The 21,820-nt window shown below is 37.1% G+C and overlaps 1 protein-coding gene across 44 annotated transcripts in view; it reads left to right on the top strand.

Annotated features, from left to right (window-relative positions):
• Nucleotides 1–21,820, top strand: part of SNX14 (sorting nexin 14) — an 88,363-nt gene that overhangs the window by 14,603 nt on the left and 51,940 nt on the right. For 20 of the 44 annotated variants that reach the window (NR_146775.2, NR_146777.2, NR_146778.2 and 17 more), the window contains 6 exons: nucleotides 4,878–4,998; nucleotides 6,882–6,958; nucleotides 7,041–7,119; nucleotides 11,679–11,722; nucleotides 13,837–13,924; nucleotides 21,196–21,280. Coding sequence is in view for 31 of the 44 variants with exons in the window: in NM_001350538.2 (NP_001337467.1) it covers nucleotides 4,878–4,998; nucleotides 6,882–6,958; nucleotides 7,041–7,119; nucleotides 11,679–11,722; nucleotides 13,837–13,924; nucleotides 21,196–21,280 (494 nt within the window). In the remaining 13 variants the exon portion in view is untranslated. The remainder of the gene's footprint in view (nucleotides 1–4,877; nucleotides 4,999–6,881; nucleotides 6,959–7,040; nucleotides 7,120–11,678; nucleotides 11,723–13,836; nucleotides 13,925–21,195; nucleotides 21,281–21,820) is intronic. The other 24 variants (NR_146774.2, NR_146779.2, NM_001350539.2 and 21 more) reach the window with 5 other exon arrangements.

Genomic DNA, 21,820 nt, shown 5'->3' with positions numbered 1-21,820 from the left:
GCCCATGCCCGGCACCTGGCTCTTGTCTTCTTTGGGGTTGGTCACTTGGGTGATGATGGCCAGGCCATCCTTGGGTATGTGGCATGCCAGCTGTTTACCTCTGAAATCTTTTTTTTTTTAGACGGAGTCCCATTCTGTCACCCAGGCTGGAGTATAGTGGCGTGATCTCGGCTCACTGCAACTTCTGCCTCCTGGGTTCAAATGATTCTTCTGCCTCAGCCTCCTGAGTAGCTGGGATTACAGGCACACACCACCATGCCCGGCTAATTTTTTTGTACTTTTAGTAGAGACGTGGTTTCATCATGTTGGCCAGGCTGGTCTCGAACTCCTGAGCTCAGGTGATCCGCCCGCCTCAGCCTTCCAAAGTGCTAAGATTACAGGCGTGACCCACTGCGCCCGGCTACCTCTGAAATCTTAAGAATCAAATATGTCACTTACTCACCAGTGTCAACTTCTTTCATTTAGTCAGTCACACTGTCCCTGCTTCTTGACATTTCAGTCTCCTGACCCTGCTTTCTTTCTGTATGTTGTCCCTCTTCTGTTGTTAGTTTACTTTCTGATGCAGTTTAGAGCCAGTCTAGCTTAGACAGATAGCTTGGTCCATCAGTCATTTCATGCAGTCTATTTCTAGTATCTTTAACTCCATCCCTTCCATTCTACTCGCCTGTCAGAATCCAAATCTGGGATCATTGATGCTGTTTGCTTTTTTTAGGTTCATATTCTGAAAACTGAATGCTGCTGGAAAAGATCCCACAACTGAAAGTTCATTGTCTTCAGCCTCAGTAATGTCCAGCAGTTCCCCAGGATACCCCCCTCTTCCCTTCTCTGTGGCAACTGTGTCAGAATTTCCCCAGTCTTCTAGAACCTCTGTTATTTACTCTCTGTCATGCTACCTTTGTCATTTACTCTCAGGATCTCCTGTTCTATATAAAAGCCATTATATGGCTTTTAATTCTTGTTACCAAATCTACAAATGTAACTGCATATTCATCCTTCTATGCATCCTGTGTGGTGTTGGGAAAGAGACATTTCTCTCATTTATAACTGTTTCTTCCATGTAGATTCTGAATCCTAACAACTCCTACCTTCTGTAAGATAGTATTTACGCATTATTTCTTTTTTTGTACTTCTTTCCCTCTTGCCTCCTTTTCTCCTATATCACCATTTAAATGTGATCAGGTTTTTAATCAAAAACCTTAACTTACTCTCCCCCTCCAGTTACTGTGTTAGCTCTCCTTTTATTTAGAAAGAGAATTATCTACATTTACCAATCCCACTTCCTCACCTCCATCTCACTCCTCAATCCGTTGTAGCCTTTTGCCATTCTAAAATTGTTTTTGCCTGGTTAATCAGTGCCTCTTTTATTGTGAAAACTAATGGACACCTCTCAATTTTTATTTTACAAACATTTGGTCATGTTGTCCACTTCATTTCTGTAGTATTTTTTTTTCTGTTTGTTTGTTCGTTTGTGTTTGACCTTGCCAGTTTTTATGACTCGACCCTTGGTTTTCTTTCCAATTCTTCTAATTACTTGATTCCTTTATAGATTTCTTTTCCTCTGCCTGGTTCTTAAATATCTTATGCTCATTTCTTTTTTAACTCTGTAGATTCTCCCTGGGTCATGTCATTTATTCCTATGGCTTCAGTGATATTTATGTTGATAATTTCTAAACCTTTATCCTTAGCCCATATTCTCTCCAGAGATTGAGACTACCCAATATTTAGGTGCTTGTGGAACATTTCTGTGTAGCGTGTTTTAAAATATCTGAAACTTAACATGCCCAAAGAGAACTGATTTTTTATTTTTCTCTTCTGCTTGCTTTTATGTATTTATTTATTTAGACGGAGTCTCGCTCTGTCACCCAGCCGGAGTGCAGTGGCGTGATCTCAGCTTACTGCAGCCTCCACCTCCCAGGTTCAAGCAATTCTCCTGCCTCACCTTCCCTAGTAGCTGGGATTACAGGCATGCGCCACCATGCCCAGCCAATTTTTATTTTTATTTTTAGTAGAGATGCGGTTTCACCATGTTGGCCAGGCTGGTCTCAAACTCCTGACCTCAAGTGATCTGCCTGCCTTGGCCTCCCAGAGTGTTAGGATTACAGTTATGAGCTACTGTACCTGGCTCCTTCTGCTCACATCTAATCAACTACTTAATCCTCTTGATTTTTCCTCCCAGTGTCTCACAAAATAATTCACTTTTTAAGATCTCTAAGTCTCTTCCCTAGTTTAGGCCATCACTGACTCTCATAGATTACTGCAACAGTTTTCTAACTAGGCTGTGTGTTTCCAGTCTAGGCCATTCTCCATATTTCATCCAGAATGGTCTTCCTATTATTTAATCTAATGATATCCTTCTGAAAACTCTTGAAAATTTTTTAAAATCTTCTTAAATCTCTTAATTGTCTCATAGGTATTACTCAGGACTCTTGATGGTAGATAACAGAAACTCAGCTCACACTAGGTTTAACAAAGGGCAAGCCTTGGAAGGTTTTGTAAGTGCAGAAATAACTGGAGTGTAGCTGGGCCCCAGAAACACATGGAAGCAGGATTTGGAATACTGCCAATACTTTCTTCCCCTTCCTTTTTCTCCTCTCTGAATTCTGGCATCATTCTCTTCTCACTCCGCTTTCCTTTAAGTGACAAAGCATATGGCTGTCAGTTTTATTACAGCTTCACATTTCTACTATCATGAGATGAATGAGACTGGTTGGACCCCAGTTCATGCAGTTTACTCTGTCAGTTCGTGCAATTTACTGTGTTTCAAATGCCTGTTACTCACTAGGTTGTCTCAGATGGTGTCCATCCCTGAACCAGTCAGCTGTAGGTAGGGAAGAAGATGCTATGATTGGCCTATTTTGTTGTTGTTGTCATCGTTTTGTCTATTCTTAATCCAGTCTTGAGTGAGGGAGATAGAATCTTAGGGAGATAAAAGCTCTTATTCCCATTTGAACTTCATGAATAGAGTGTAAAGAAAGAACACTTTGCAGAAGGGATTGTAGTCTCTACTGAGTCTACAAATTATTAGATCCCTACAGTGCATTTTCTTGTAAGATAATACGGGCAGTCCCTGGTTTCTCTGGTAGTGAGGGTCTGTAAAAATGATTGTGCAAGCAGAAACTGTGCAAAATGGTTTCAGTCAATGGGAAAATTACGATTGAGTTTTAAAAAATTTTGTCAAGACATTGAAAACTCTCATTGTCAGTTATAATAGTATAGGGAAATGAAAAAAATAGTAAAGTGAGTAGTACACTGTAATTTTAAACATTAGAAACATTGAGAATTAAAGTGTTATATTTCTTTGTAAAAAACATATTAAGAGTAACTTAAACAGTGTTTGTCTTCTTCTCATCCGATAACATGGGATATGGAGCGAATATCTTTTTCATGCATAGGTGAATTACCATACTCCTAAGTTTGGATCAACTTTCAATGTTTTATCCAATGTTGTGAAATCTCCAAAAGTTCCTTTGCTGGTGTCACTTCTTCTGGGACATTTTCATCCTTGTGCCATAACCACTCTTCTCATTGTTGTCAAAAAGTTCACTACCTTTGTCTGGCTGCATAGAATCTGTTGAACAGCAGCATTGTCATCATTCCCACAGTCAGCTATTTCTTCTGTACTTCATTTACATTTGATTTGAATTTTACTTCTTGCATTACCACTGTTCATTTCTTTGTTTCTCTTTAATATTTGTGGGCCAAAGTCCATGTTTGTAAAGTGTATTGCAGATTTATTATTGGGAGACAGGGAGGTAACACAACTCCATGGTTTCCTGTCTGTGCATGCACTAAAGAATAACAATGTGCAGTGAGTGACCAGTCACTGACAGAACTGATGTGATTGGTCCCTGATCATGATGCACATCTGTTATTTATATAGTGATTTGTGGACTGATGAGTTAGCAGAGTTTGTACTTTATACAGTTACTCACAGTTAATAAATAATACTGTGGTCATTGGCATTTGAACTGTGTTGTGGGGGACTGGTGTTATTTAGCACAATCATGGTATCTGAAATTTTTGCATATCAGAACTGTGCAATGTGAGGACTACCTGTATTAAGACACACATTGCCCATTATATCACACTATATTATTTGGCTTCTGCTTTTGCTTTTAGATTCATCTTAAGGCCTTCTTCCTTGGAAGTGTGCTCACACAGACCTAAGCCCATGTGTTTCTCTCAAGTTTGAATTCCCCTGCCTCTTCTCCAGTCTCCCATACCTCTATCCTATCCTCTTCTGTTTATTTGTTCCTACTTACCCTTTAAGTTTTTCTGTAGATATTGCTTTCTCTGAAAAAACTTTTCTGTTCTTTTCAAATTTGGGTTAATCAGCCTGTGGTATTCCCATATCACACAGACTTTCTGTCGTAATATCACATGTGTGATCACATAGTATTGTGCTTATTTTTACTTACGTATCACCACTACTAGACTGTGTTTTCCATGCAGGTAGAGACTATGCAGTGCAGTTCCTCACTGTATTCCCAGGGCCTACCTCTGTCTATAACAAAATAGGTACTTAGTAAAATTTTTTTGATGTAGTGAAAAATAATCAGAATTTTGTTGGGATATGAATACTACAATATCATCAGAAGGTATTCTGGAAGAATGTAGTATAGACTAGTTAAACATAGGTACCAATTATGAAATATTGATCATTTATGCTTCCTTATCCTTTAAATGAAATATGTATTTGATAGCATACATCTTATGATTCTTGTATTTAATACATTACAAAAAATTAATCATAATTTGAAAAATTGCTTCAATCTGATATTGTAGGTGCTTAATGAATGCTTGTTAAGTCAGTGAAGCGGTAACTTAGAATTAGGCATTTTCTTTGGTTGTAATAATTATTTTCATTTATTTTTAAGGTATATTCATATTTTAATGATCTTCTGGTCATTTGTTGCTGGAGTTGTCACATTCTACTGCTCACTAGGACCTGATTCTCTCTTACCAAATATATTCTTCACAATAAAATACAAACCCAAGGTAAAATTATGTGTTCTTATTGTTAAGAATCAATGTATATGAGCCTAAGCTGTTTATTATTTGAAAGCCTGCTAAAGCAGTATATTTTTTTAATTTACAAAATTTGTTTTCTTTCAATTTCTTCTCTTTTTTTTTTTTGTTTTTTTTAGGTACTCTGCTAAAAGCAGTGATTTTATTATAAAATGATTTTATTATTATAAAAAAATCCATCCAATTTTATTTAATAATGGAAGTCTATTAGAAAATTTTCAAAATAAGATTTGTATATGTGTATGCTTTTAAGGTATACAATTCTCTTAGAGGAGCTATAAAAAGAAAATATGGTACAAAAGTTTCAGAAAGTTGGAATCCACAATTTTAGGGTGTCCTCTATTAACCGTGAGGACAATAAATTAAATCACAGGTTCTCAAAGCTGGTTGTACAGTAAATCTCCTGGGGAATTAAAAAATACAGATTCCTGGGGTGTACTACCAGATTTTGATTGAATAGTTCTGGGTTAGAGCCTTGTAATCAGTACTTGTTAGAAGCTTTCCAGCTGATTCTGAGGCACAGACTGAGGAAGTTCTGGGTTAAATGATCTAATCCTATTAAATTCTTAAATGTTTGTGTGCTTCATAGAAACAGAGATATAATTAGGCAGTTTATATAACCAAAGTAATTTATTTCTGAAATTTAATGAAGGGTGGTAATGTGGTGAGTCTATCTCTGTAAAGCAAGGTTCTGGTCTGTAGATTAGGGTTTAGTGGGATATCTTTTCCTTTTCCTTTTTATTTTTTTGACATGGAGTCTTGCTCTGTCACCCAGGTTGGAGTGCGGTGGCGCCATTTTGGTTCACTGCAACCTCTGCCTCTCAGGTTCAAGTGATTCTTCTGCCTCAGCCTTCCATGTAACTGAGATTACAGGCACACGCCACCAGGCCCAGCTAATTTTTGTATTTTTAGTAGAGACGGGGTTTTGCTGTGTTGGCCAGGCTGGTCTCGAACTCCTGACCTCAGGTGATCCACTTGCCTCGGCCTACCAAAGTGTTAGGATTACAGGCGTGAGCCACTGCGCCTGGCCTAGTGGGATATCTTTAAGGCTTAATAATTCTTTAAGTTGGTGTAGTATCTTGTCTTGGGTTTGTTGGTATTTCTACTCAGAGGAAACACAACTGAACGTGGTGCCCCATATTTGATCAGGAACTGTAATAGTTACCTCGTACCTTTGTCATTGAATTCAAGATTTTGGAGAAAGAGAAAATAGTTTTTTCTTATTATGCCTTTGCAGTAGAGTGTCACTTTCTTTTTTCTTTCTTCCTTTTTTTGAGACAGGCTAGAGTTGCACAGGCTAGAGTGCAGTGGCAGGATCACGGCTTACTGCAGCCTCAAACTCCTGAGCTCAGGTGATCCTCCCACCTCAGCCTCCTGGGTAGCTGGGATTATAGGCATGTGCCACCACACCTGTCTAATTTTTGAATTTTTTTTGTAGAGACAGGGTTTTACCATGTTTCCCAGGCTGGCCTCAAACTCCTGGGCTCAAGCCATCCACTCACCGCGGTCTCCCAGAGTGCTAGGATTATAGGTGTGAGCCACTGTGCTTGGCCAAATTATCACTTTCAAATATAGACTGAATTTTTTTTAAGTGATCATAACAATTGATTTTAACTTTAAGCTTGGAAATTTGGCTTAGGTATTATAAGGCATTTCATGTGGTATTTTTTTCTCTGATGGTTTAGTTTAGCCAGTATTATGTATTACAAAGAAAGATTTCACTGTTAAAGTAGACAAAAAATGTTCTTTGAATTTATACATTGATTTTAAAAACTTCTGAAAAGTTGATTCTTTTAAATAAAGATGTTATGTAAAGATGGATCTCCCCACCACCTCTCATTTTCCTTTTTTAGCAGTTAGGACTTCAGGAATTATTTCCTCAAGGTCATAGCTGTGCTGTTTGTGGTAAAGTGAAATGTAAACGACATAGGTAAGTTAAATATTTTTTTATTTGTTGATCCTTCTAATTACATTTGGATTTCAAGTGATTTAGTTGTATAATTTTTCTTTAGGCCTTCTTTGCTACTTGAAAACTACCAGCCATGGCTAGACCTGAAAATTTCTTCCAAGGTTGATGCATCTCTCTCAGAGGTAACTGATTTAATTAATATTATTAACAGAAAATGTTAAATGCCTGTGGAAAAATTTTCCAGAATTTTTAATCAAAAAATTTAATCATGGAGCATCTTAATACATGTCACTTAAATCAGTTCTGAGGCAGTTGATTATTGCAGACTAAACAACTTGAGTAGTAAGCTAGAAATGTTTTTGAATCTCATGTTTAATTTAGACATTTTCAGCTAAGGAAAGCACTGGTTTACCCGAAACAGTCATAAAGATGAAAACAGTCATCTTTATGATAGCGCAGCAGAAATATCATTTTGTAATTCCAAAAGGAACCCTGGACTGCAAGGAGCAAATCAATATATAGCTTACTGAATTATGACCCCAGTTTTGACACTAACTGAAGGGTAGAGTAGGGAATGGGATATTTTTCAGTATTTCTGCATAATACAGGAATGGAAAGCATGTTCTCTTATCTTTGTTATAGTCAGATTTCATGTGTATCTTTTTGGTAACATGTTTTAGTTGTTTTAAAGACTTGTCTTCTCAGTGGATTTGACAAAACACTCAAGTCCTTGAAGGCAAGGAATGGAGTCTCATTTGTTCCTAGCACCAAGTATCAGGTCACGTATATTGTTGGTAGCTGATCAAAGTGTATTGAATCAAATTGGATGTTAATTAGTTGAAGAATAGCATCTGAATCCCGCTTAATTGTTCTTTATCCCATTTTGTATCCTGCATAAAAGCCCATTAAAATTTGGCATTTTTTTCTTTGCCTCTCTAAGGCCTTTTTTTTTTTTTTTTGAGATGGAGTCTTGCTCTGCCACCCAGGCCGGAGTGCAGTGGTGCGATCTCACCTCATTGCAACCTCTGCCTCCCGGGTTCAAGCGATTCTCCTGCGTCAGCCTCCCGAGTAGCTGGGACTGCAGGCGTGCACCACCACGCCCGCCTAATTTTTTTTCTTTTGTCATTTTAGTAGAGACGGGGTTTCACATGTTAGCCAGGACGTGGTCTTGATCTCCTGACCTCGTGATCCACCCACGTCGGCCTCCCAAAGTGCTGGGTTTACAGGCGTGAGCCACCATGCCGGGCCTCTAAGGCCTTTTTCATCTTCAAGATACCCTGATTTAAGACTTCTGTCTAATATGGTAGCTCCTAGCCACATGTGGCTATTAATAAACACTTGAAATGTGCTAGTCCAAGTTGACATGTGTTCTGTGTATAAAATATATAGTGGATTTTGAAGATTTTGTAAGAAGACTTAGTAAGAAAAGACTTAGAAAAAAGGAATGTAAAGTTTCTTTTTTTTTTGAGACGGAATCTCGCTCTGTCACCCAGGCTGGAGTGCAGTGGCATAATCTTGGCTCACTGCAACCTCCGCCTCCCGAGTTCAAACGATTCTCTTGCCTCAGCCTCCCAAGTAGCTGGGACTACAAGCGCACACCACCACGCCCAGCTAATTTTTGTATTTTTAGTAGAGACAGGGTTTCACCATATTGGCCAGGCTGGTCTCGAACTCCTGACCTTGTGATCCACCTGCCTCGACCTCCCAAAGTGTTGGTAGTATAGGAGTCAGCCACTGCGCCTGGACAAGTATCTCATTTTTTATATTGATTACATGTTGAAATGATAATATTTTGGATGTGTTGGGTTAAATAAAATATAAAATTAATTTCACCTGTTTCTTTTTACTTTGTAAAAAATGTAGCTACTAGAAAATTTAAAATTAATGGGTAACTTACATTATATTTCTGTTGGAGAGTGCGAAGTTGAGGTCTGTTGAAGAAAACTTCTAACAAGAGTATTATTTGTGTCTTTGACATGTCATTCATTCATAAAAATGAAAGGACTTGTATAAAACCCTTGGTCCAGTACCTGGCACATACTGGTGCTCAGTAAATATTAGCTCTCACATTTAAAAACATATTTTGATATCTTATAGGTAGGAACTGGGCTAGGCCCTAGTGATTAAAAGTGAAGATATGGTCCCTTTCTACCAGGAACTTTAGTCTAGAAGTAGAGGCAGGCATATAAACAGGTAATCACAATATAATTTAATGCAGGCAATAATGGAAAAAAATTAAGGTATATAGAATTAGTATAGAGGAGAAGTTCATAACTATTGAGAGGGAAATCAGATCGGAGAACTAGAGGTTTGCCAGACTAATAGTGTGGGAAAGGGTATTTCAGGATTTGAGTAGAGCTTTCAAAAGGAAAGAGAGGCTTGAAACAAGGTGGGATGTTCAGCAAACTGGAGAGTAAAATGTGAGGGAGGATGTGGGCAATGAGGAAACAATATTCTAGTAGCTAATATTTAATGATTTACTTACTGTATATTAGGCATTGTGCTAAGCTCATTCTTTATTTCATGTAATCTATGTATAACCTATGAAGTGGGTACTATTATTGATAATTTTACCAAAGGTAAATGAAATTTAGAATTTTAATAATTTTCTCAAGTTTCATATTTGGTTGATTACAGAACTCAATAAAAAACTCAGGTCTGGTTAAGTTCTTAATCAGGATTTTATGTGGCCCTTTAGAAATGAGACTATCAAATGACTTTAAGGGCTATGCTGATGGAGCTTAGATTAATTGATTCTGGAAGTCAGTGATTTTCTTGAATTTTCACATGTGACTCATAGGGTACACTGGGAGTGAAAAGGAAGTGATGCAGCTGCTGCATGCCAGCAGGTCCCCTTCAAAATCAGTGCAATTTATACCTTTCTTATTTTCATATATTCAGGTTTGATATGTTGAGGATTTCATGCAAGAGGATGATGTGGTCAAATGTATGTTTTAGGTTACTTTGGCAACTCTATTTAGGATGGAAGGGAGTGAGCTTGGAAGCAGGGAGTTGAGAGGCCATTGCTGCAGTATAAGGGGTAAGAAAATGAGTACCCGCTGGGCGTGTTGGCTCACGCCTGTAATCCCAGCACTTTGGGAGGCCGAGGTGGGCGGATCACCTAAGGTCGGGAGTTCGAGACCAGCCTGACCAACATGGAGAAACCCCATCTCTAGTAAAAATGCAAAATTAGCTGGTTGTGGTGGCACATGCCTATAATCCCAGCTACTTGGGAGGCTGAGGCAGAATTGCTTAAACCCTGGAGGTGGAGGTTGAGGTGAGCCAAGATTGCGCTATTGCACTCCAGCCCGGGCAAGAAGAGTGAAACTCCGCCTCAAAAAAAAAAAAAAAAGAAAAGAAAAGCACTACTTAGGATATAAAATCAGTAGGACTTGGTGATTGGCTGGATGTGGGAAATAAAGGAAGAAGAAATGTTTAATGATAACTCGTTCTAGTCTGTTCTCTCTATCCTATTCATTGTTATCCCTGTTTATATGTATTTTCATTTCCCAACACATATAAACAATGCTTAGTTTTTGTACTAAAATGTCTAAATTATTGTTCACTTAATATTTAAACTAGAGAATTCACAAACTTTATTATTGCTGCCAGAGAAAATATATGATCTGATTTTGGAAGCATTAGATTAGATATGTCGTTTTGTTCCCTCCCTACTGCATTTGTAAGTTACTGCCCAATGTTGCAACTCCTTGTAAAAATTATGACATACTGCGACACCCAAATCCAAGAAATGGAAGATTTAACACCCAGGGTTTGTTTTATTTTGTTTTGTTACTTTTTCACTTATATAACTTATGTACTGATTTGAGTGTACAGGTAAAATTTTCGCAAAGCGAACATATGTGTGTAACCAGCATTCAGATCAGGAAACAAAACGTTACCGGCATCCCAGAACTCCCCTTTATGTTCCTCTCTAGCCACTATACTCCCTTCAGAGGTAACCACTAACACCTAATTTTGACCCCTTACATAAATCTTAGCTGCTTGTTTCTTCACTGTATTCTGAAAATACTGACTTATAAAGTTAGGAATGGAAAGGACTAACTTGCTCTGTTTCTTCTTTCCATAGCACGTTTTTGGTTCAGTTAAGCTTCAGAGTCAGGAACAATTTATTTAACTTTTTGTTTGATTATGGGAATATTTAGAAATATGTGCATGTCATTCTAATAATAAGTTTTTCTATTTGTGGAATTTTTATGATTTTCCAAGTGTTTTCTCATATGTTTTCTTTGATCCTCATTCACATAAGGATGAAATATACATTTTGTCATGTGAAAGTATTATATTACTGTCGTTATTTGTTTTTTGTTTTTTTGAGACAGAGTCTCACTCTGTCGCCCAGGCTGGTGTACAGTGGCAACATCTTGGCTCACTGTAACCTCTGCCTCTCAGGCTCAAGCGATACTCCTGCCTCAGCCCCCCAAATAGCTGGGAATACAGGTACACGTCACTACACCCAGCTTATTGTTCTGTTTTTTGTAGATACAGGGTTTCATCATGTTACCCAGGCTGGTCTCAAACTCGTGAGCTAAAGCCATCCACCTGCCTTGACCTCCCAAAGTGCTGGGATTACAGGTGTGAGCCACTGCTCACCGCCTACTGTCACTATTTGTGATAATAAAATTGTTTCTTGGTAATGTTACATATTCCCAAATGGTACCATTTATTTTCCAAAAACTAATTAATTTTATTTTTCTTTAAAAAATAATTGTTTATGCAGGTTCTTGAATTAGTGTTGGAAAACTTTGTTTATCCGTGGTACAGGTATGTTCTTTCTATAAGATCTTTTTTTCTGTGATACAGTGAATACTATTAAGTTAAGCATGCTAATGACATGTTTTTCATGTAGACCAGGATTTCTCAACTTTGTCATTGTTGACCTTTTAGCCAAAATAATTATTTGTTTTGGGGGCAGTACTGTGCATTACATGATAATTAGCACCCCTGACCTCTCCCATTAGATACTAGTAACAGACATCTCTGCCACCAGTTGTGACCAATAAAAATGTCTTCAGAGGTTGCCAGATATGACCTGGAAGGCATAATTGGCCCTAGTTAAGAACCACTGATGTAGGCATCAGTCAATTAATAATTTGGTGATAGTAAAGAGGAAGAAAACTTAGGCTGTGTTTTGAAAGAAAAGTAACTTGTAGAATTCCTTATCACTCCTAAATGTAGTGATTTAATAATTTTGTATACAGTTTTCACATTTGAAATAATTGTACCTTTTGGAGGGGAATCTGTATTCACATATTTCATTAAATTGAAAGATAGCTTCAGTACTTTTCCTGGAGAATTAATGGTTTTTTTTTCCCCAAGTACCTTTGTTTTTGGTGTATGCCATGTACGTGCAAGGGCCTTGTGCTTTTGAAGATACAGAAAATACTTTAGATTTGACAGAAATCTATTTTGAAATTAGAGAGATCCAACTTATATCATTTAATAAATACATATTTTCTTAAATAAGCATCATGTGTTTAATATATATTTGAACACTTATACCTCCATGGCTTATACATATGATGTTTAATGACATCTACCCTGATTTTATATTGATTCAGTATATTTTGAATTTTCTTTTCTTTCTTTTTTTTTTCTTTGAGATGGAGTCTTACTCTGTTGCCTAGGCTGGAGTGCAGTGGCGCGACCTCAGCTCACTGCAACCTCCACCTCCCAGGTTCAAGCAATCCTCCCACCTCAGCCTCCCAAGAAGCTGGGATTACAGGCGTGCACCACAATGCTTGGCTAATTTTTGTATTTTTAGTAGAGATGGGGTTTCCCCATGTTGGTCAGGCTGGTCTCAAACTCCCGACTTCAAGTGATCCACCCACCTCGGCCTCCCAAAGTGTTGGGATTATAGGTGTGAGCCACCATGCCTGGCCGAATTTCTAATTAAAAAAAAAAAAATGCTACTAGTTGAATTCACCCAGAGTGTTTAAGACAAATTTAATATCGTTTCTATGCCATATTTTCCTGGAGAGCTATGTAAATTTACATTTGGTTCTGTGTTAAATATCTGGCATTTGCCATTTAACTAAAGCTGATGGTGAGGCCTTTTGTAAAATGAATCCTTTTGTGAAGACTCCCTTACCTTCTCCCATCTCTCATTACGACACTTTCGACATAAAATCTAGTTGTATTTCTAAGTGTGAAAGTATACTTTCTTCTCAGTTGTAGCTATTGATGCTGTAATATCCCCTTCTGTAGGGTTAACAGTGGGAAGCATGGTTGATACAATTATCTTTCCTATTCTGCCAAGAAAGTTAACAACACCGTCTTTGAGTTCAAGATATCATCATTCTTTCTTTTCTTGCCTTTGATTAGGGAAGTGTTCTAATTCTAGGGCCCTCCAAACATCAGGAAAATGAAAGTAACTCCTCAGTTGAAGGTTGTCAGAATTTCTGTTTTACAAAATGTCTGAGTTTCAGTTCATTTAATTTCTTTTTCAAATAGAGCACACATTTTTTTGTTTTAACTTTTAGAATTTATTTTATAAGTATTTTAAACTATTTAAAAATTTTGTATTAATTCTATTGCTTCTCCAAAATTATTCATTGTTTTATTTCTTTGAACTTTCTTTGGTGTTGCTTAGAACATAATCTCAGTATTGTAAAAATAAGACTGTAGTCGTGTATGTCTGCAAGGAAATATATGTTACAATTTAGTTAATAGTGATTATGTCTTGATGCTAGAATTATGGTAGATGTTTGTTTTATTTTTTGTACATGTCTTTTTTTCTGCAATGAAATGTATTATTTGTAAATGAAAAAAGAAAGTAGCTTAAGTAAACAGAAAAAAGGAAAATTTTCCCTTGGATTGTAGAAGGTGAAACTGTATTTCTCTGAACTTCTGAATATTTGTTTTTCTCCTTATTGAAGGGATGTGACAGATGATGAATCCTTTGTTGATGAACTGAGAATAACATTACGTTTTTTTGCATCTGTCTTAATAAGAAGGATTCACAAGGTATATATTTTTAATGAGAAATTTGGGAATTTGGGGCTTTATCATTTAATGAAAGAGATTTAAAACAATTTTTTGTGAGTACATGGCAAATGTACATATTTGTGGGGTACATGAGATACTTTGATACAGGCATGTAGTAAGTAATAATCACATCATGGAAAATGGGGTATCTATCCCTCAAGCATTTATCATTTGTGTTACAAACAATCCAAATATACTCAGTTACTTTTAAATGTACAATTAAATTTTTGACTATACTCACCCTGCTCTATCAAATATTAGGTCTTACTCTTTCTAAGTGTATCTTTTAGAAGATTATTTGAAACAATTTTTTTTTTTTTTTTAGACAGAGTTTTGCTCTGTCGCCCAGGCTGGAGTACAGTGGCATGATCTCAGCTCACTGCAACCTCCGCCTCCCAGGTTCAAGTGATTCTCCTGCCTCAGCCTCTCGAGTAGCTGGGACTACAGGAATATGCCACCACGCCCGGCTAATTTTTTGTATTTTTAGTAGAGACAGGGTTTCACCGTGTTAGCCAGGATGGTCTCGATCTCCTGACATTGTGATCCGCCCACCTCTTCCTCCCAAAGTGCTAGGATTACAGGTGTGAGCCACTGCGCCCGGCCTTAAACCTTATTTTTACTTTATCCTATACCATGTGTATTTGCTTTGTCTTCATTTTTTTAGGTTAAAAAATTAGTGAATAATTTTTGATCCATCGATCAGTTTTGCTTTCTTTCATTTTAATGCTTAGTTATCTTGGTTTGTAGAAATTAGAAATGAAAAGACAGCTATAGAAAAAAGTCATGTTCTGGCCATCAGAGAAATGCAAATCAAAACAACAATGAGGTACCATCTCACACCAGTTAGAATGGCAATTATTAAAAAGTCAGGCAACAACAGGTGCTGGAGAGGATGTGGAGAAATAGAAACACTTTTACACTGCTGGTGGGACTGTAAACTAGTTCAACCATTGTGGAAGACAGTGTGGCGATTCCTCAAGGATCTAGAACTAGAAATACCATTTGACCCAGCCATCCCATTACTGGGTATATACCCAAAGGATTATAAATCATGCTGCTCTAAAGACACATGCACACATATGTTTATTGCGGCACTATTCACAATAGCAAAGACTTGGAACCAACCCAAATGTCCATCAGTGATAGACTGGATTAAGAAAATGTGGCACAAATACACCATGGAATACTATGCAGCCATAAAAAAGGATGAGTTCATGTCCTTTGTAGGGACATGGATGAAGCTGGAAACCATCATTCTCAGCAAACTATCATGAGGACAGATAACCAAACACCGCATGTTCTTACTCATAGGTGGGAATTGAAGAATGAGAACATTTGGACACAGGGTGGGGAACATCACACACCAGGACCTGTCATGGGGTGGGGGAAGGGGGGAGGGATAGTATTAGGAGATATACCTAATGTAAATGACTAGTTAACGGGTGCAGCACACCAACATGGCACATGTATACATATGTAACAAACCTGCACATTGTGCACATGTACCCTAGAACTTTAAGTATAATAATAATAAAAAAGAAAAAAGTCATGTTCCAGTTAGATGGATTTATTGAGTAAATGGCAATGATTATGATCTACTTTAAAAAATATTTTTCTCAGCCAGGCGCGGTGGCTCACGCCTGTAATCCCAGCACTTTGGGAGGCCTAGGTGGGCGGACCACTCGAGGTCAGGAGTTCAAGACCAGCCTGGCCAACATGGTGAAACTCTGTCTCTACTAAAAATACAAAAAATTAGCCAGGCATGGGGGCGGGCATCTGTAATACCAGCTACTCAGGAGGCCAAGGCAGGAGAATTGCTTTAACCTGGGAGGTGGAGGTTGTAATGAGCCGAGATCGTGCCATTGCATTCCAGCCTGGGCAACAAGAGCGAAACTCTATCTCAAAAAGCAAAAAAACAAATATTTTTCTCGAGCTGTATTTTGTGCATATTTGTATCATTGCCTATATATATTTGTAGTATATTGTCTGTAGACACACACACTTTTCTACTGCTTTGTCAGTTCAGTATTGACATATTGAACGTATTGAGAATTTATTAATATATAATATCTCTGCCACTAGTAATAAAATAAAGATTAATCTTGTTAAATTACTCTATACCTATCTGAGAAGTGAACAATATAGTCAACTGCTAGAGAAAAGATATGCAAAAAACGTACAGTAGTTCACAAAAAAAAGATACAAAATGGCCAATGAACACTTGAAAGTATGTTGTCTCACAGCAAATAAATATGTTTTTAATGAGATATTATTCTTTTACTTATCAGACTGGGAAAGGTAAAAAAGAGTGTTAATATCTAGTAATGGTGATGTATGGAAAACAAGTTCAAATTCAAATTGGTATAGTTCTCACATTTGAGGGCAGTTTGGTAATCTTTATTAAGACTTAAAAAAATCTATACTCCAGGCCATGCACCGTGGCTCATGCCTGTAATCTGAGGTGGCTGAGATGGGCAGATCACTGGAGGTCGGGAGTTCGAGATCAGCCTGGCCAACATGGTGAAACCTCATCTCTACTAAAACTACAAAGAAATTAGCCTGGTGTAATCGTGCACACCTGTAATCCCAGCTACTTGAGAGGCTGAGGCAGGAGAATCGCTTGAACCTGGGCGGTGGAAGTTACAGTGAGCCGAGATCACACCACTGCACTTCAAGTGCTTGGGCAACAGAGCGAGACTCTGTCTCAAAAAAAAAAAAAAAAAAAAAAGCCCAAAAAGTATGTTCAAAGATTTATTGCAGTATAATTTATAAAAAGTAAAACTGAAAAGAAAAATTGATGTCTACTAAGATTGTTAATTGAGTAAATATAATACATCCTAATTACAGAATTCTACACGGCCATGAACAATCATTTTGTAGAATAATACTTATTTTCAAGGGAAAATATTTATCTTAAATAGTCAAGTAAAGGGGATGCTCATATGCTGCTGGTGGGAATGCAAATGAGTTGAGCCACTGTGGAAAGCAGTTTGGAGATTTCTGAAAGAACTTAGAACAGAATTCAAAGGAATATAAATTGTAGACATGGAATCAACCTAGATACCCAGCAGTAGTGGACTGGATAAAGAAAATGTGGTACATATACTCCATGGAATACCACGCAGCCATAAAAAAGAATGAAATCATGTTCTTTGCAGCAACATGGATGTAGCTGGTCCTAAGTGAATTAACACAGGAACATAAAATCAAATATTGCATGTTCTCATTTATAAGTAGGAGCTAAACATTGGGTACACGTGGACATAAAGAAGGAAGCAATAGACATGGTGACCTACTTGAGGGTGGAGAGTGGGAGGAGGATTAGGATAAAAAAACTGCTTATGGGTACTGTGCTCATTACTTGGGTGACGAAATAATTTGTACACCAAACCCCCATGACATGCAGTTTACTCATGTAATGAGCCTGCACATGTACTTCCTGAACCTAACATAAAAGTTGGAAAGAAAAAGGAAAAAAAAAAAAACAAAAAAGAAACAGGCAAATGAACAGGCTGGAAACTAATATGTGTGGTATTTTTCTACTTTGAAAACAAAGTTCATATATTAAAGCTTGCTAATACATATATTAAGGACATATACCTCCTTATCACTGTTAACTCTTAGTGTGGTGGTGGGCTGATGCTGATTTTTTTTCCCATGCACTTCTTTATATTTGTCTTTTTCTATTGCATGTAGCTTTTGTCACTTTTGAAAATAGTTGATAAACAGTCACCACATTGTTTAACAGACAGTCTAGGGAAATTGACTCATAATATTTAAGTGGAATGAAAGAGTAAGAAATATCAATTGGTTGATGACAAACCATTTAAGTTATACTTTGGAATAAGTAAAAATTGATTTATCAAAATTAATTTTGATTGCCATATTACGGTTAGCTAATAAACGTTAGTTAATTGAACAGTTCTTCTGTGTTAACCTTTTCCCTTTTCTTTTTTTTTTTTTGAGACAGGGTTTCACTTTATTGCCCAGACTGGAGTGCAGTGGTGTGATCTCGGCTCACTGCAACCTGTGCCTTCCAGGCTCAAGCGATTCTCCTACCTCAGCCTCCCGAGTAGCTGGGATTACAGGCTTATAGGCGTGTGCCACTACCGCCTCACTAATTCTTTTTTTGTATTTTTAGTAGAGATGGGATTTCACCATGTTGGCCAGGCTGGTCTCGAACTCCTGACCTCAAATGATTCCCCTGCTTCAGCTTCCCAAAATGCTGGGATTACAGATGTGAGCCACCGTGCCCAGCCTTTTTTTTTTTTTTTTTTAAGATGGAGTCTCACTGTGTCACCCAGGCTGGAGTGCAGTGGTGCCATCTCGGCTCACTGCAATCTCCACCTCCCAGGTTCAAGCGATTCTCCTGCCTCAGCCTCTGGAGTAGCTAGGATTACAGGTGCCCGCCACCATGCCTGGCTAATTTTTGTATTTTTAGTAGAGACAGAGTTTCACTATGTTGGCCAGCCTGGTCTCGAACTCCTGACTTCAAGTGATTCACCCACCTCGGTCTCCCAAAGTGCTGGGATTACAGGTGTGAGCCACTGTGCCAGGCCTATGTTAGGCTTTGGATTAGCTTAGTGGATTCTAAATTAATAGCACCTCATACTTGGAGTGGTTTATAGATATATATGTATGTAGTTTGTTAATAGTTTTATTGAGATATAATTTACATACCATGTAATTCACCCATTTGAAGTATATGATTTGATGGTTTTTAGCATATTCAGTTGTACAACCATCCCCATAGTCAATTTTAGAACATTTTCATCACCCAGAAAGAGACCTTGTACCCTCTAGCCATAAACATCACCTCTTCTATCCCTTCATCCATAGCCAACCACAAATCTACTTTGTATATCTATGGATTTGGATGTCTATTCTGAACATTTCATATACATGGAATCATACAATATGTGGCCTTTTGTGACTGGTTTCTTTTACTCAGCATAATGTTCTCAAGGTTTATCCATATTATGTTGTAGCATGTATCAATATTTCATTCTTTTTATGGCTAATATTCCATTGTGTGAATGTACTACATTTTGTTTATCCATTCATCAGTTGATGGATATTTGTATTGTTTCTACCTTTTGTCTGTTATGTACCTGTTAGCATTTGTATACAAGTTTTTTTTTGTCGGATATATATTTTCACTTATCTTGGGTATATACATAGGAGTACAATTGCTGGATCAAAAACTCTATGTCTAACACTTTGAGTAACTGCCAGACTATTTTCCAAAGTGGCTCCACCATTTACATTCCCATCAGCAGTGTATGAGGATCTCAATTTCTCCACATCCTTGCCAGAACTATTTATAATCTCACTCTTTTATTCTAACCATCCTAGTATATGTGACATGATATTCCATGGTGGCTTTGAATTGCATATCCCTGATGCCAATAATGTTGAGAACTTTTATGCTTATTTGCCATTTGTCTGCCTTCTTTGAAGAAATGTCCATTCAAATTCCTTACCTGCATTTTAACTGGGTTATTTTTTTATTACTGAGTTGTAAAAGTTACTTATATGGATACATGTCCTTTATCAGATAAATGATTTGCAAAATATTTTCTTCAATTTTCTGAATTATACTGTGGCTCTTATCTGCGTCACTATCCTGGAAGATAAATGGGTCATTATTATATTCATTTTATAGAAAGGTATTAACTTTGTCAAAGTGTTAGCAAATGTTAATGGGCAAAAGATTAGGCCTTGGTCATCTTATTCCTTCTACAATGTTCTGTTCATGATTCTGTTGCCTGCATAATGTAAATTGGAAGTTTGGGAATAATGAAAACAAAGAATCATTTAGGGTCTACAATTTTTTAAAAATCAAAGTTTAGTGACAAACCCATTATTTTACCATTTTAATTCTGACCTGAATTCCCTAAAGTGGAACTTACAAATAAAAATCTTACTGAGTATTCTCAGAAAACAAGATTTTACAAAATGTTTGAAAACTATAACATCTTGTTTATTTGATAAATATGAGAGTAATTTATAAGCGAGTACCAAGTGGCCAAGGGCAAATGAAGAGTGATGTTATTTTCAATGAGGTATAATACTAGCAAAAATATCGCCTCTTACTGAACATGTTTGATCTGGGTTTTATCAGCAAATCATTAAAATTTGGGGGTTTATGATCCATCATACTTACTAGATTTATCACCCTGGGATTTTGTTCCCTTAATATGGAATTTAAAAAGAATTGAAAAATTAACACTGTTGTGATGGAATTTTCTCATGCCTTTGATAAAGGAAATATATAATATATTAAGTTTTATGGTGGAAGACGGGCCTGTTGAAGTCTAATAAATATGCTTTTTGTTGATTTATTTATAATTTATTTTTAGTTTTTTTTTTTTCCTGTTTTCTGCATGTGCATATAAGCCCTCAGCCCTCCCTCACTAACCTACCATGATCACTGCAGCTTCTAGCCTTTAGGTTGAAAAATCTTGGTGGGGAATGATGAAACTTAATTTTATTCTAAAATAGGGTGTTTCCATATATCTTGAAACCAGGATTCATGCTGGGCATGGTGGCTAATGCCTTTAATCCCAGCACTTTGGGAGGCTGTTGGGAGGCTGAGGTGGGTGGATTACTTGAGTCCAGGTGTTGGAGACCAGCCTGGGCAACATGGCGAAACCCCGTTTCTACTAAAAACTACAAAAAACTAGCTGGGCGTGGTGGCATGCGCCTGTATTCCCAGCTACCCAGGAGGCTGAGGTGGGAGAATCACCTGAGCCCGGGAGACTGAGACTGCAGTGAGATGGTGCCACTGCTCTCCAGGCTGGGCAGCTGCTGTGAGACCCTGTCTCAAAAAACAACAAAAACCCAAAAAACAAACCAGGATTTATCTCATAAGCTGAATGAAGAAGTTCATTTTCAACTAATTTCTTACTAATCACAAATGTACAGCATCAAAGGGATAATAAGTTACTGGAGTTTTCCTTGAACGCATTTAATACAAAGAACACGTAAAGAAGCTAGGAGTAAAGATACTATTTTGTGGGAAAGATTTAGTATTTAAGGTATACATATTAAGATTAATTTTCAGTACTGTGGGTAAAAAAATTATCTAATGTTACAGTTAGTATGATGCAGGAATATAAAGTGTTATTTTTGAAAGATTCTGAATACTTCTAATTTTTAAGATATATTCCAATATCATAATTGTAGTGTACCTGCCATTGTAACTTAGTGATAATTATTTTAAAAGTTTTAATCTTGAATTTTTCTAGGTGGATATTCCATCTATTATAACCAAGAAACTATTAAAAGCAGCAATGAAGCATATAGAAGTGATAGTTAAAGCCAGACAGAAAGGTAATACAGTTTTCTACTACAGTTTGAGTAATTTTGTTTTTATACACCAATTTTCACCCGAAATATCTAAATATGAGTACTGATTAATTAACTTACATATTCACAGTTGATGCGAGAGTATTCTCTTAAACTGAAATGTCTTTCAGTAGTTTGTTAATGTGTGAAAACTTGAGAGCCTTTAAAAATTAAAATAAAAGTTAACTTTACTGCTGACACTCTTAATCAGTTTTGAATGGTAATCTATTTCTCTGAAGTATCTTTCATTTCTCTTCACCCTTTCTCCTTAATGGTTTCAATGGTTTTGACCTATTCTAGCCCATCCTTTATATTGCTACAAGGTTGCTTTTATGATATGACAAGTCTCATGTTGTCTTTCTACTAAAAAAAACAAATTTAGTGACTGTCATAGCATCTAAACTGTGTATTTAAATCCTTTTCTATCTAGTCAGATATTAGATCTAGTCTTGTCTTTCACTATATTATGCTTTGGCCAGGATGACCTGCTTGCTGCTTCTCATGTATGTTCTGTCCTTTTTCCTG

The sequence above is a fragment of the Homo sapiens genome, chromosome 6, assembly GCF_000001405.40.
Source record: "Homo sapiens chromosome 6, GRCh38.p14 Primary Assembly".
Taxonomy (NCBI): domain Eukaryota; kingdom Metazoa; phylum Chordata; class Mammalia; order Primates; family Hominidae; genus Homo; species Homo sapiens.
Note: the sequence above shows the minus strand (reverse complement) of the source record. Positions and strands in the feature narration are given on the sequence as shown.